General features: G+C 38.0%; 1 annotated feature.

Annotated features, from left to right (window-relative positions):
* Nucleotides 11884-12384: an enhancer, noted in NCBI's record as "H3K4me1 hESC enhancer chr5:155063444-155063944 (GRCh37/hg19 assembly coordinates)". NCBI's record gives its function as "activates a minimal SCP1, AML or CMV promoter by ChIP-STARR-seq in primed H9 embryonic stem cells {active_cell/tissue: H9 hESC(primed)}" and the evidence as "EXISTENCE:reporter gene assay evidence [ECO:0000049][PMID:30033119]".

The raw sequence follows: 12892 nt of genomic DNA on the forward strand, positions 1-12892 counted from the left end.
AAAGTGTCTGATATGGTTTGGCTCTGTGTCCTCACCCAAATCTCATCTTGAATTGTACTCCCATAATTTCCACGTGTTGTGGGAGGGACCTAGTGGGAGATAATTGAATCATGGGGGTGGTTTCCCCCATGCTGTTCTCGTGCTAGTGAATGAGTCTCGAGAGCTCATGGTTTTATATGGGGTTTGCACTTCCGATTCTCGCTCTTGCTGCCACCATGTAAGAAAAACTTTCACCTTCCACCATGATTGTGAAACCTGCCTAGCCACGTGGAACTGTAAGTCCATTAAACCTCTTTCTTTTGTAAATCACTCAGTATTGGGTATGTCTTTATCAGCAGCATAAAAATGGACTAATACAGTGCCTCGGCATTTTGAGTGCACAAATTCTTAAAACCAGAAATTTCACATCTTGCTATTTATTACAGAAGACATCGGCATGTATGCATAGAGTCATGTAAAAAGGTATACCTTGAAGCATTGTTTATTACTGCAAGAATCAACTTAAATGTCCTTAAGTAATCTCTTTTAAAATAAGTATATAAGTGAAGAAATATTTTGCAGGAAACAAAAGAATGAGAAATATCTGTATGCAGTGACATATTAAGAGTTCAAAACTTATTTCTATGTAGAAAAAGAAAAATATTTACAGTAGATGTAATTAATGTTTGAAAATAACTAGCAAAATAATAATATCTGTCAGATAGGCTATCTATCTGTAGAGATACACACACACACACACACATACACACACGTACACATACACAGAGATTAAAAAATAGTCTAGTAGGTTATACTCAACACAAATGATTGTCTCCTTGTTGGGGGAAGGAAAGATTGGAGGGTAAAGGAACTTTCTGCTTCTTCTGTACTTTTTGAATTGTTTACTCATAGAACTAAAATTAAAATAAGATGATTTCATCTCACATGTTAAGATGAAGAAATTTCTCAGAGGTCACTGAGGAATCTAGACTGTAATACATAGCATTATTTCATAGTCTTAAAGTTTTACTCTAGATGGCAAATAACCTCCTGTCTTTGTTTTGTCACACTGAAATGTCTGAAATTAAATGGAAGACACTAATAACATACAAGTTTTCTTCTGGTGAAATTTTTTTTATTTTTAAAAATGAACACATAATAATTGTAGACATTTATGATGTACATAGTGAGTTTCAATGTATAGCACATTAGTGATCAAATCGGGGTAATTATCCATTACATCAAACATGTATCATTTGTGTTGGAAACATAATTTCTTCTCTTCCAAGTATTTGAAAATAATTGTTGACTGTATTCACTCTACAATGTTATAAAACACTAAAGTTTGTTCCTCCTATTTAGCTGTAATTTTGTATCCTTTAACCAATCACTTTTGATCCACCCTTTCCCCTACCCTTCCTATTTTCTAGTAACCACTATTCTACTCTCTACTTCTATTCTTCTAGGTTGGTGCAAAAAAAAAAAATTGAGGTTTCAGACATGAATTTTAGATCACTATAAGTAGGTTCAAACACATCTTTGCTAATCAAAATAGGCACAACTACCATTAAGATTTTTGCCAATGAGAAATGATTTTGTTTATTCCTGTAGTGTAAAAATTAGTGCTTCAGGATTTGATGAACTCTTGGAAAATATTTTCTGCATCCTGCTGGTTGTGGAAGCATTTTCCCTGCAAAATGTTGTCAAGATCCTTCAAGAAGTGGTAGTTGATTGGCCAGAGGTCAGGTGATTATGGTGGATGAGGCAAAACTTTGTAGCTCAATTCGTTCAACTTTGGAAGCATTGGTTGTGCAATGTGCAGTTGGGTGCTGTTGTGGAGAAGAATTGGGCCCTTTCTGTTGACCAATGCTGGCTACAGGTGTTGCAGTTTTCAGTGCATCTCATCGATTTGTTGAGCATGCTTTTCAGATGTAGTGGTGCCACTGGGATTCAGAAAGCTTAGGTGGATCAGACCGGCAGCAGACCACCAAATTGTGACCATGACCTTTTTTTGGTGCAAGTTTGGCTTTGGGAAGCACTTTGGAGCTCCTTGGTTCAACCACTGAGCTGGTCATTGCCAGTGGTCACATAAAATCCACTTTTTGTCACATGTCACAATTTGATTGAGAAATGGTTCATTGTTGCTCTGTAGAATAAGAGAAGATGACACTTCAAAATGATGATTTTAAAAATTTTTGGTCAACTCATGAGGCACCCACTTATCGAGCTTTTTCACCTTTCCAATTTGCTTCAAATGCTGAGTGACCATAGAATGTTCGACGTCGAGTTTTTTGGCAACTTCTCGTGTAGTTGTAAGAGGGTCAGCTTCAATGATTCCTCTCAACTGGTCAATGTCAACTTTCTATGGCCAGCCACTGTGCTCCTCACCTTCAAAGCTCTGGTCTCCTTTGCAAAAGTTCTCGAACCACCACTGCAATGTACGTTCATTAGCTCCTGGGCCAAATGTGTTGTTCATGTTGCTAGTTGTCTCCGCTGTTTACAACCCATTTTGAACTTCAATCAGAAAATTGCTCAAATTTGCTTTTTATCTAACATAATTTCCATAATCTAAAATAAATATAAAATAAATAGCAAGTAATAAGTCATTAGCAAAAAAAAATAAAGTGAGAAATGCACATTAAAATGATATATAACACACATTTGATAAATAAACCACATTTATTTTAGAATGTATTCTAATATCAAGCAGCAAATTTCAACAGTGCAAAACTGCAATTACTTTTGCACCAACGTACATATGAGATCAACTTTTTCAGCTTCTGCATATGAGTAAGAACATGCAGTACTTATATTTCTGTTCCTGACTGATTTCACTTAACACAATGTCCTCCAGGCTTATCCATGTTGTCACAAATGACAGGATTTAATTCTTTCTTATGGCTGAGTAATGTTCCCTTGTGTATATATACCACATTTAATTTGTCCATTCGTCCATTGATTGACACTTAGCCTGATTTCTTATCTTGGTGATTATGACTAGTGCTACAATAAATATGCAAGTGCAGATATTTCTTTGATATATTATTTCCTTTGGGTATATACCCAGTAGTTAGATTACTAAATCATATGGTAGTTCTATTTGTAGGTTTTTTTACTGATACATAATATCTGTACATATTATGGTACATGTGATATTTTGTTTTATGCATAAAATGTGTAATGATCAAGTTAGGGTATTTAGGGCATGCATTACCTTGGGTATTTATCAGTTCTATATGTTAGGAGCATTTCAAGTCCTCTCTTCTAGTTATTTTGAAATATACAGTACAGTATTATTAACTATAGCTACCATATTCTGCTCTCAAACATTAAAACTCATTTTTCTTCTATCTAACTGTATGCTTGTACCCATTAAATAACCTCTCTTTATCTCCCCCACCCACCCACAAACACTTCCCAGCCTTTAGTATCTCTAATGCTCTCTCTACCTTCATGAGATCAACTTTTTTAGATCCCACAAATAAATGAGAACATGCAATGTTTTTCTGTTCTGCCTGGCTTGTTTCACTTAACATGATTTCTAGTTCAATCTATGTTGCTGCCACTGACATGATTTCATTCTTTTTTATGTCTAAATTGTATTTCATTGTGTGTATTTGACATTTCTCCACTGATGAACACTTAGGTTGATTCAATATCTTTGCTATTGTGAATAGTGCTGCAATAAACATGAGTATATCCTTTTGATATACTGATTTCCTCTCCTTTGAAAAATAATCAGTAGCTGGATTGCTTGATCATATGGCAGTTCAATTGTTTTTGCATCATGTCTATACTGTTTTTCATAATTGCTGTACTAATTTACACTCCCATTAACAGTGTGTAAGAGTTCTGTTTCCTCTGTATCCTTGTCAGCATCTGGTTTGGGTTTTATTTGTATTTTTATTAGTAGCTATTCTAATTGTGGTAAAATATCTCATTGTGGTTTTGATTTGCATTTACCTAATGATTAATTATGTTGAGCATTTTTTATATATGTTTTGGCTATTTGTAAGTCTTCTTTTGAGATATGGCAATTTTTAATGTGATTATTTGTTTTCTTACTGTTCAGTTTGAATTCCTTATATATTCTAGATATTAGTCCCTTGTGAGTAATTTTTTATATCTTCTGTCTTTCAACAGCTTGTCTCTTCACTCTGTTGATTGTTTCCTTTGCTGTGCAGAATCTTTTAAATTTAAATAATTCAATTTGTCTATTTTTGCTTTTGTTGCCTGTACTTTTAAGGTCTTACCCATAAAATCTTTGCCTAGGCCAATGTCCTGAAGGGTTTCCCCTAGGTTTTCTTCTAGTAGTTTTATAGTTTCAGGTCTTATGTTTAAGTCTTTAGTCCATCTTGAGACGATTTTTGTATGTGATGAGAGATAGGGCTCCAGTTTCATTCTTCTGCATATGGATATCCAATTTTCTCAGCACCATTTATTGAAGAGGGTGTCCTTTCCCCAATGTATGCTCTTAGCATTTTTGTCAAAAATCAGTCAGCTGGAAATATGTGGATTTATTTCTGAGTTCTCTATTTTGTTCCATTGGCTTATGTGGTCTGTTTTGTACCTATATCGTGCTGTTTTGTTCACTATAGCTTTGTAATATATTTTGAAATCTAGTAGTGTTATGTCTTTAATTTTTTTCTTTTTGCTCAGGATTACTTTGGCTATTTGGGCTCTTTTTTAATTTAAAAGGAATTTTAGGGTTGTTTTTCCTATTTCTGTGAGAAATAACTTTGGTATTTTGATAGGGATTGAAGTAAATGTTTAGATTGCTTTGTATAGTATGGTCATTTTCAATTTGTTTCATCAGTGTTTTGTAGTTTTCCTTGTACAGGTTTTTCACCTCCATGGTTACATTTATTCCTACATATTTTATTTTTTGTAGCTATTGTAAATGGGATTGCCTTCTTGACTTCTGCATCAGCTAGTTCATTGTTGATATATAGAAATGCTACTGACATTTGTATGTTTTGTATCCTGCAACTTTACTAAATTTATTTAACAGATCTAAGAGTTTTTGGTGGCATCTTTAGATTTTTTTAAATATAAGATCATGTGATCTTCAAAGAGGGAGAGTTTTACTTCCTCTTTTCTAATTTGGATTAGAAAATCCAAACTCTTACCTGATTGCTCCAGGTGGAACTTTCAGTACTGTGTTGAATAGGAGTGTTGAAAGTAAACATCCTTTTCTTGTTCCTGTTCTTAGAGTGAAGGCTTTCAGCTTTCCCTCATTCAGTATGATGTTAGTTGTGGGTTTGTCTCATATGGCCTTTAATATGTTGAGGTATGTTCCTTTTGTTGAGAGTTTTTATTATGAAGGAATATTGAATTTTATCAAATGCTTTTCTGTGTTCATTGAGATGATTTTTGTCCTTCATTCTGTTGATGTGATGCATCAACAGAATGCATATGTTGAAACATTCTTAAATTCACAGGATAAATCCCACTTGATCATAGTGATACAGAACAGCTGGGCTCCCAGCTAAACCCAACCCTTAAGCCTGGACCCTTAGCCCTAAGTGAAAACAGCTGACTTTGTTTTTCTGCCCAAATAATTGCCTTTTTTGGTCTGCCACACCCCTATCCAGTGCCTATAAAAAGACTTCAGCTGAAAGAACAACACAAGTGGCTTATGCAAGTGGTCAAGGATGCAAGCTGCTGAACATTGGCGATACGTGCGGCTGAGTGTTGTAGACTATGGATAGATATGGCTAACTTCAGATGGTGCAGCTTCAGGGAAAGATCACCTTCCTCCCATACCATTCCTTTTCCAATTCCCCATCCAACTGAGCCACTTTTATCGCCCAATAAAATATACTACTCTTCAAATAGTTCATGTGACCTGATTCTTCTTGGACACTGAAGAACTTGGTTGTCAAAAAGGGCAGGTGGAGGAGGCTGTCACCCTGACCCATCACTGGGCTGTTAGTTGTCCATGGACTGCAGGCTGAGTTCCTGCCCACAAAGGGGGTTGGGGGTCTAGGGAAACATCCTGTCTCATTTCGGGGCTCATCCAGGATATGAAAAGTGGTGAGTTAAAATGTGGAACTCTTGGATCTGTCTCTTTTCCAAGACCCTGTCACCATGCTCTTTCCTTTGGGTAAAAGGAATGCTGGCTCTGTTTCCCTTCAGGGAGGTCTAGCTAGACTGAACTAGGGGAGGATACAATGATTGAAGGAACCCATTTTCACAGAGCAAGAGTCTCTTCCCTCAGGCTCCCCAACTTATGCACTTTAAGTTGAGTTGTTTTTCTTCTTTTCTAAGTGAGAGAGTTCTCTATCTCAGCACTCTGCTTACGATAGGGAAAGAGAGTTCTCTTTCTACCTCAGCACTCTGCTTATGTTAGGGAAACAACAGAGGAGGAACCCCTGCTGACTGTTAACTGCAAGTTTGGCAAAGCCCGCATGGGATTTAATCTAAATGAATCTATGTACCTCGTGAAATAATTTTTATGTCTCAAACTTGATTCCAAGCTTCAGGTTGAGGCCCTAGAAAGGAAAACCAGATCTGAGGGATCCAAAGCCACAAAACAAGCACAGTGTAAACAGGCAGGACCAATTCCTGCTAATTAAACTCCTGCTTCATGGAAGGAGGCCATACTTTATGGCATAAGTGAGGTCCAGGAAACTCAGAAGTTGTTGACAGTAGGGGAGGTACAGGCACTGGTGAGTGTGAATAATTCCTATTTTCTAGGCCTTTCCTGCTTAATGAGTGCATGTCACATTGGCACCCATGGGTGGCACATGCCAACACTGCCAGGACTCTGGGATAAGGACACAAAAGGGGGAATGCCCATTTTCTTTCTCCCTCACACCCCAAGTTTTCACTGAAAGAAGGAAGGGAATGAAGGACATTGAATTCCCTGTCTTTCAGAATGGGCAACCAAGAAACTTTACCACCTCCAGTTTATACTTAGAAATGGACCCTGGGACCAGATGGTACTTTAGAGGACCTCCTGAAAGTGGCCACCTCAGTCTTTTAGACGTGAGAAAGAGGAAGAAGCTTTAATGGCCACCATGCAAGCCCACAAACCCCAGAATTCTCTAGAAAGGAACCTCCTGAAAGTGGCCACCTCAGTCTTTCAGACGTAAGAAAGAGGCAGAAGCTTTAATGGCCACAATGCAAGCCTACAAACCCCGGAATTCCTAAGGTTCACCTGTTAACTGCTTCAGATGTTGCAAGAACAGTTATCTTTCTCATAAATTTGAACCACTTCCATACAAGGTTTAATTTCTTTTACCAGGGTGAAACAGCTTAGGATAAAATGTTGTTAGTATATTTTACATCTTATTTCTGTAACCCTTGGCACTAGATTCTTTCCTTCTATAATACATATGTTTGATCCATGCATAGTTAACCTTGTAAAGTTTGTTTTTTCTCTCACCTAGATGTCATTAAGGCTCCAAATGGGCAGGAAGCCGGAGCCTCGGACAATGGCTCCCTTTTGCCAGTGATCCTTAGGTAGACGTCTGGGAGGAATCTGACTGCGGTTTTCCCCAAACAATGCCCCCTTTCAGCAGGAAGTAGCTAAGACTGGTCATCATCCATATTCTAAAGGCAGTTAGATATGCCTCTTCAGAGGGTGAAAATGATACAGAATGGCTCTGGGCTCCCAGCTAAACCCGACCCTCAAGCCTGGAACCTCAGCCCTAAGTAAAAACAGCTGACCCTGAAGGGCTGGCCTTCCAACTAAGCTCCACCCTTAAGCTTGGAACCTTGGCCCTAAGTGAAAACAGCTGACTTTGCTTTTCCACCAAAATGATTGCCTTTTTGGCCTGCCACACCCCTATCCAGTGCCCATAAAAAGACTTCAGCTGAAAGAGCAACACAAGCAGCTGATGCAAGTAGTTGGGGGATGCAAGCTTCTGAACATCAGGGATACCTGCAGCTGGTCATCAGAGACTATGGATAGACATGGCTAACTTCAGACAGTTCAGCTTCAGGGAGAGATTACCTTCTTCCTGCACTATTCCCTTTGCAATTCCCCATCCAACTGAGAGCCAGTGTTATCACCCAATAAAATCCTCTGCATACACCAACCTTCAAATAGTTCATGTGACCTGATTCTACCTGGACACCGAACAAGAACTCAGGTACAAAAAAGGGCAGGTGCAGGAGGCTGTCACCCTGACCCTTCCCTGAGTTGTTAACACTTAGCTGTCCACAGACTGCAGGCTTGGTGAAACGAGGCACTCCAGTTTCTGCCTACTAAGGGGGTCAAGGGAAATATTCCATCTCAATAGTATATTATCTTTTTCATGTGCTATTGGATTTAATTTGCTAGTATTTTTTGAGGATTTTTGTGTTTATGTTCATCAGGGATACTGATGAACATAGTTTTCTTTCTTTGTTGTGTCTTTGCCTGGTTTTGGTATCAAGATAATGCTGACCTCCTAGAATGAGTTAGGAAGAAGACCCTTCTTTTCATTTTTTTGAATTAGTTTGAGGAGAATTGGTGTTAGTTCTTTTTTGTAAGTTTTGTAGAATTTGGCAGTGAAGCTATCTGGTCCTGGGCTTTTCTTTTGTGGGAGACTATTGCTTATTCAATCTCAGTAATTCTTATCAGTTTGTTAAGTGTTTCTATTTCTTCTTGGTCAATTGCAGTAGATTTATCCAGGAATTTGTTCATTTCTTCTAGGTTTTCCAATTTATTGGCATATGGTTGCTTTTAATAATCTATAATGATTATTTGTATTTCTGAGGTATCTGTTATGATGTTTCCTTTTTTGTTTCTGATTTTATTTATTTGGATATTCTCTCTTTTTTCTTAGTAAAGCTGATGAGTTGATTTTTGTTTATCTAAACACACTTTCATTTCATTTTTAAAAATATTTTGTTTCAATTTTATTTCTACCCTAATTTTTATTTCTTTTCTTCTACTAATTTTGGGTTTGTTCTGTTTTTGCTTTTCTTGTTCCTTGAAGTGAATCCATAGGTTCTTTACTTGAAATCCCTTTACTTTTTATTGTAAGGCTTTATTGCCATAAAGCTGGCTCTTAATACTGATTTTGCTGTATGCCATGGGTTTTGGTATGTTGTGTTTTTATTATTTGTTTCAAAGAATTTAAAATTTTTTCTTTATTCATTGGTCGTTGAGGAGTATGTTGTTTAATTTTCATGTATTTGTGCAGTTATAAATGTTTCTCTTGTTACTAGTTTTATTCCATGGTGGTTGGAAAATATATTTGATATGATTTAGATTTTTAAAAATCATTTAAGACTTGTTTTCTGCCTTCACATATGGTCAATCCTGGTGAATGTTTCATCTGCCAGTGAGAAGAATGTGTATTCTGTAGCTGTTGTGTGAAATGAACTGGAAATGTCTCACATCTGTTTGGTTCATGGTGTAGTTATATTAAATGTTTTTGTTGATTTTCTCTATAGATGATCTCTCCAATGCTGAGAGTTGGATGTTGGACTCCTCAACTATTATTGGAGTCTAACTCTTCCTTTAGATGTAATAATATTTGCTTTCTATATCTGGGTGTTTCATTATTGGGTGCATATATACTTATAGTTGTTATATCTTCTTGCTGAATTTATCATTTCATAAATATATAATATTCTTCTTTGTCTCTTTTAAAGTTTTTTACTTAAAGTCTGTTTTTTCTGATATAAGTATACCAGCTCCTGTTTGCTTATGGTTTCGGTTCACATGGAATATCTTTTTCCTATCTCTTCTCTTTCAGTCAGTGTGTCTTTACAGGTGAAATAAGTTTCTTGTAGGCAGCATATAGTTGCATCTTATTTTTTCATCCATTTGGCCAATCTATATCGTTTAGTTGGGGAATGTAATTTGTTTACATTCAAGGTTATAATTGATAGGTGAGGTGTCTTACTCCTATCATTTTATTGTTTTTTTGGTTGTTTTGTATACCATTTGTTTCTCTCGTCCTGTCTTATTATATTTGTGATTTGGTGTTTTCCTTTATTTGTAGTGATAAAATTCCTTTCTCTTTCCCTTTTATTTATCTGCTGTATCAGTGAATTTTATAATTTTGTATGTTTTCATTATGATATTTGTCTTCACTGTGATCCCAGGTGTAGGACTCCCTAAAGTATTTTTTGTAAAGTCAGTTTAGTAGTGATAAATTCCTAGTTGTTTCTTATCTGGGAAACACCCTATTTCTCCTTTATTTCTAAAGCATAGCTTTGCTGGTGCCGTATTCTTGGCTGCTTGTTTTTTGTTTATTTTAGCACTTTTTGTTTGTTTTCTGAGACACGGTCTGGCTCTATCACTCAGGCTGGAGTGCAGTGGTGTGATCTCAGCTCACTGAAATCTCCACTTCCTGGGCTCAAGCCATTCTCCCACCTCAGCCTTCCAAGCAGCTGGAACTACAGGAGCATGCAATGACACCTGGCTAATTTTCTTTTTCTTTTTTTGTTTTGTTTTTTAGAGACAGAGTTTCACCATGCTACCCAGGCTGATCTCAAATGCCTGAGCTCAAGTGATGTGCCTGCCTCAGCCACCCAAAATACTAGGATTACAGGAATAAGCCACTGCACTTGACCTTGTTTTAGCCCTTTGAATATATCATCCTATTTTCTCTTGGTCTGTAAGTTTTCTGCTGAGAAATCTTCTGGTGGTCTAATATGAATTTCTTCATATGTAGCTTGACACTCTTTTCTTGCTGTTTTTACAATTTTGTTTTTGCTTTTGACTTTTGACAGTTTGACTGTAACATGCCTTGGAGAGGACCTGCTTGGGTTAAATCTATTTGGGAATCTTTGCCTTTTCTAGATCTGGAGGTACCAACATTTAAGAGTTTTCCAGCTGTTATTTCATTAAGTAGGTTTTCTATGACTTTTCCCAACTTTTCTGCTTCTTGAATCCCCATAATGCAAATGTTCATTTGCTAAATAGTGTCCCATAAGTCCTGTAGGCTTTCTTCATTTAAAAAAATTATTCTTCTTCTTTTGTGTGTGTGTACCTGTGTTACTTCAAAAAGCTTATCTTCCAGTTCAAAAATTCTTTCTTCTGCTTGGTCTAATCTGTTTTTGAAGCTGTTGTTTGTTTGTTTGTTTTGAGACAGGGTCTCACTTTGTTACCCAGGCTGCTAACGGTGGTGTGATCTTGGCTCACTGCAGCCTCGACCTCTTAGGCTCAAGTGATCCTGCCACCTCAGCCTCCCAAGTAGCTGGGACTACAGGCATGCACCTGGCTAAGTTTTTTGTATTTTTTATAGAGACTGGGTTTCACTATCTTGCCCAAACTGGTCTCAAACTCCTGACCTCAGGTGATCTGCTCACCTTGGCCTCCCAAAGTGCTGGGATTATAGGTGTGAGCCATCACACCTAGCCTCTTGATTGTATTTTTTATTTAATTCATTCAATTGTTCAGCTCTAATATTTTTATTTGGTTCATTTTTATGATATCTATCTCTTTGTTGATTTTTTCATTCAGATTATTAATTGTTTTTCTGATATTATTGAATTCTGTAACTGTATTCTCTTTTATCTCACTGAGTTTCCTTAAAGCCACTATTTTGATTTTTGGTATTTTATATATGCTCTTTTGGGTCTATTATGGGAAAATTATTGTATTCCTTCAGGGGTGCCATGTTTACTTCCTTTTTCATGTTTATTTTGTCTCAATATTGATATCTGCACATGTGGTGAAAGTTGCCTTTTCCAGTTTTATAAGGTAGGTTTCTTAGGGAAAGACATTTCCACATTTGGGTCCTAAGATGTTGGTTGTATCAGGTTTGTGGCTTTGCTTTTAGATCAATGCAATAATGTGTTCTTCTTGCAGTTTCTTTACTTGTAATTCCTGTTAGAAATGTTTATGAATGCTGATATGGTTTTGCTGTGTCCCCACCCAATCTCATCTTGAATTGTAACTCCCACAATTCCCATGTGTCATGGGAGGGACCCAGTGGGTGGGAGGTGATTGAATTGTGGGGGCAGTCTTTCCTGCACTGTTCTGTTGATAGTCAATGAGTCTCATGAGATCTGATGGTTTTAAAAAGGGGAGTTTTCCTGCACAAACTCTTCTCTTGTCTGCTGCCATGTGAGACGTGCCTTTTACCCTCTGCCATTTTTGTGAGACCTCCCCAGCCATGTGGAACCAAGTCCAATAAACCTCTTTTCTTTGTAAATTGCCCAGTCTCTTGTATGTCTTTATCGGCAGTGTGAAAATGGCTTAATACAAATGCCTTGGAGTTTCAGGCTGCAGAAGTCTGTGGCAGCAGTGGCGCAGGTTTACTAGGGTTGGGCTTACTGGGTGTTTTCTCCAGCTAGGGGAGCATACATGCACATGATACTTCAGCTGGCTTAGGGACTGGCTGATTGGGGCCACCAGGTTGTTATTTCAGCCTGGGGCATAGGCCACTGCTGCTTGACCAGATCAGGGGTGGGTCCCCCATGCTGTCTTTCTGGCTAGGAGCATGGGTGCATGGTGGTTCACCCAGCCTGACGTTGGTCTTCCTGCTTTGCAGGACTGCAGTCACAGTCATTCATGGGCCAAGGCTCTGCATGGCTGGTGTTGTAGCACTGCAGCCATTCATCTGGGCTTGGTGGAATAATGGCAGAGTCCAAGGGCTGAAGAGGCACAGTGACTGCTGGCTCCCAGAGCAGGGTGAACTCCAACAGTTTCTCTGATTTCAAAATAGTACTGTGCTATAGTTATACAATTCATAGCAGTGCATAAATTTAGGCAACTCCCCAAATAGGGCTCAGGGCTCATGAGCACTATGGGATTATCTTGTAGGAAGGACTGCAGGTGTCTGCAGTGGCACTGGGACTGGCAGGGGTTTTCTACTTATTTTTTTTTCCCACAAGAGTATGTCCATCCTGACTCTGGGCTGATCTTATGGGGGGAGATGGGGCAGTATAGGCCAGGCCTCATTCCCATCTGTATGCTGTCAGCCTGGGCTTACCAGAACCACAGGAATCCAGGAATCCTGAC

This window comes from Homo sapiens, chromosome 5 (genome assembly GCF_000001405.40).
Source record: "Homo sapiens chromosome 5, GRCh38.p14 Primary Assembly".
Taxonomy (NCBI): Eukaryota; Metazoa; Chordata; class Mammalia; order Primates; family Hominidae; genus Homo; species Homo sapiens.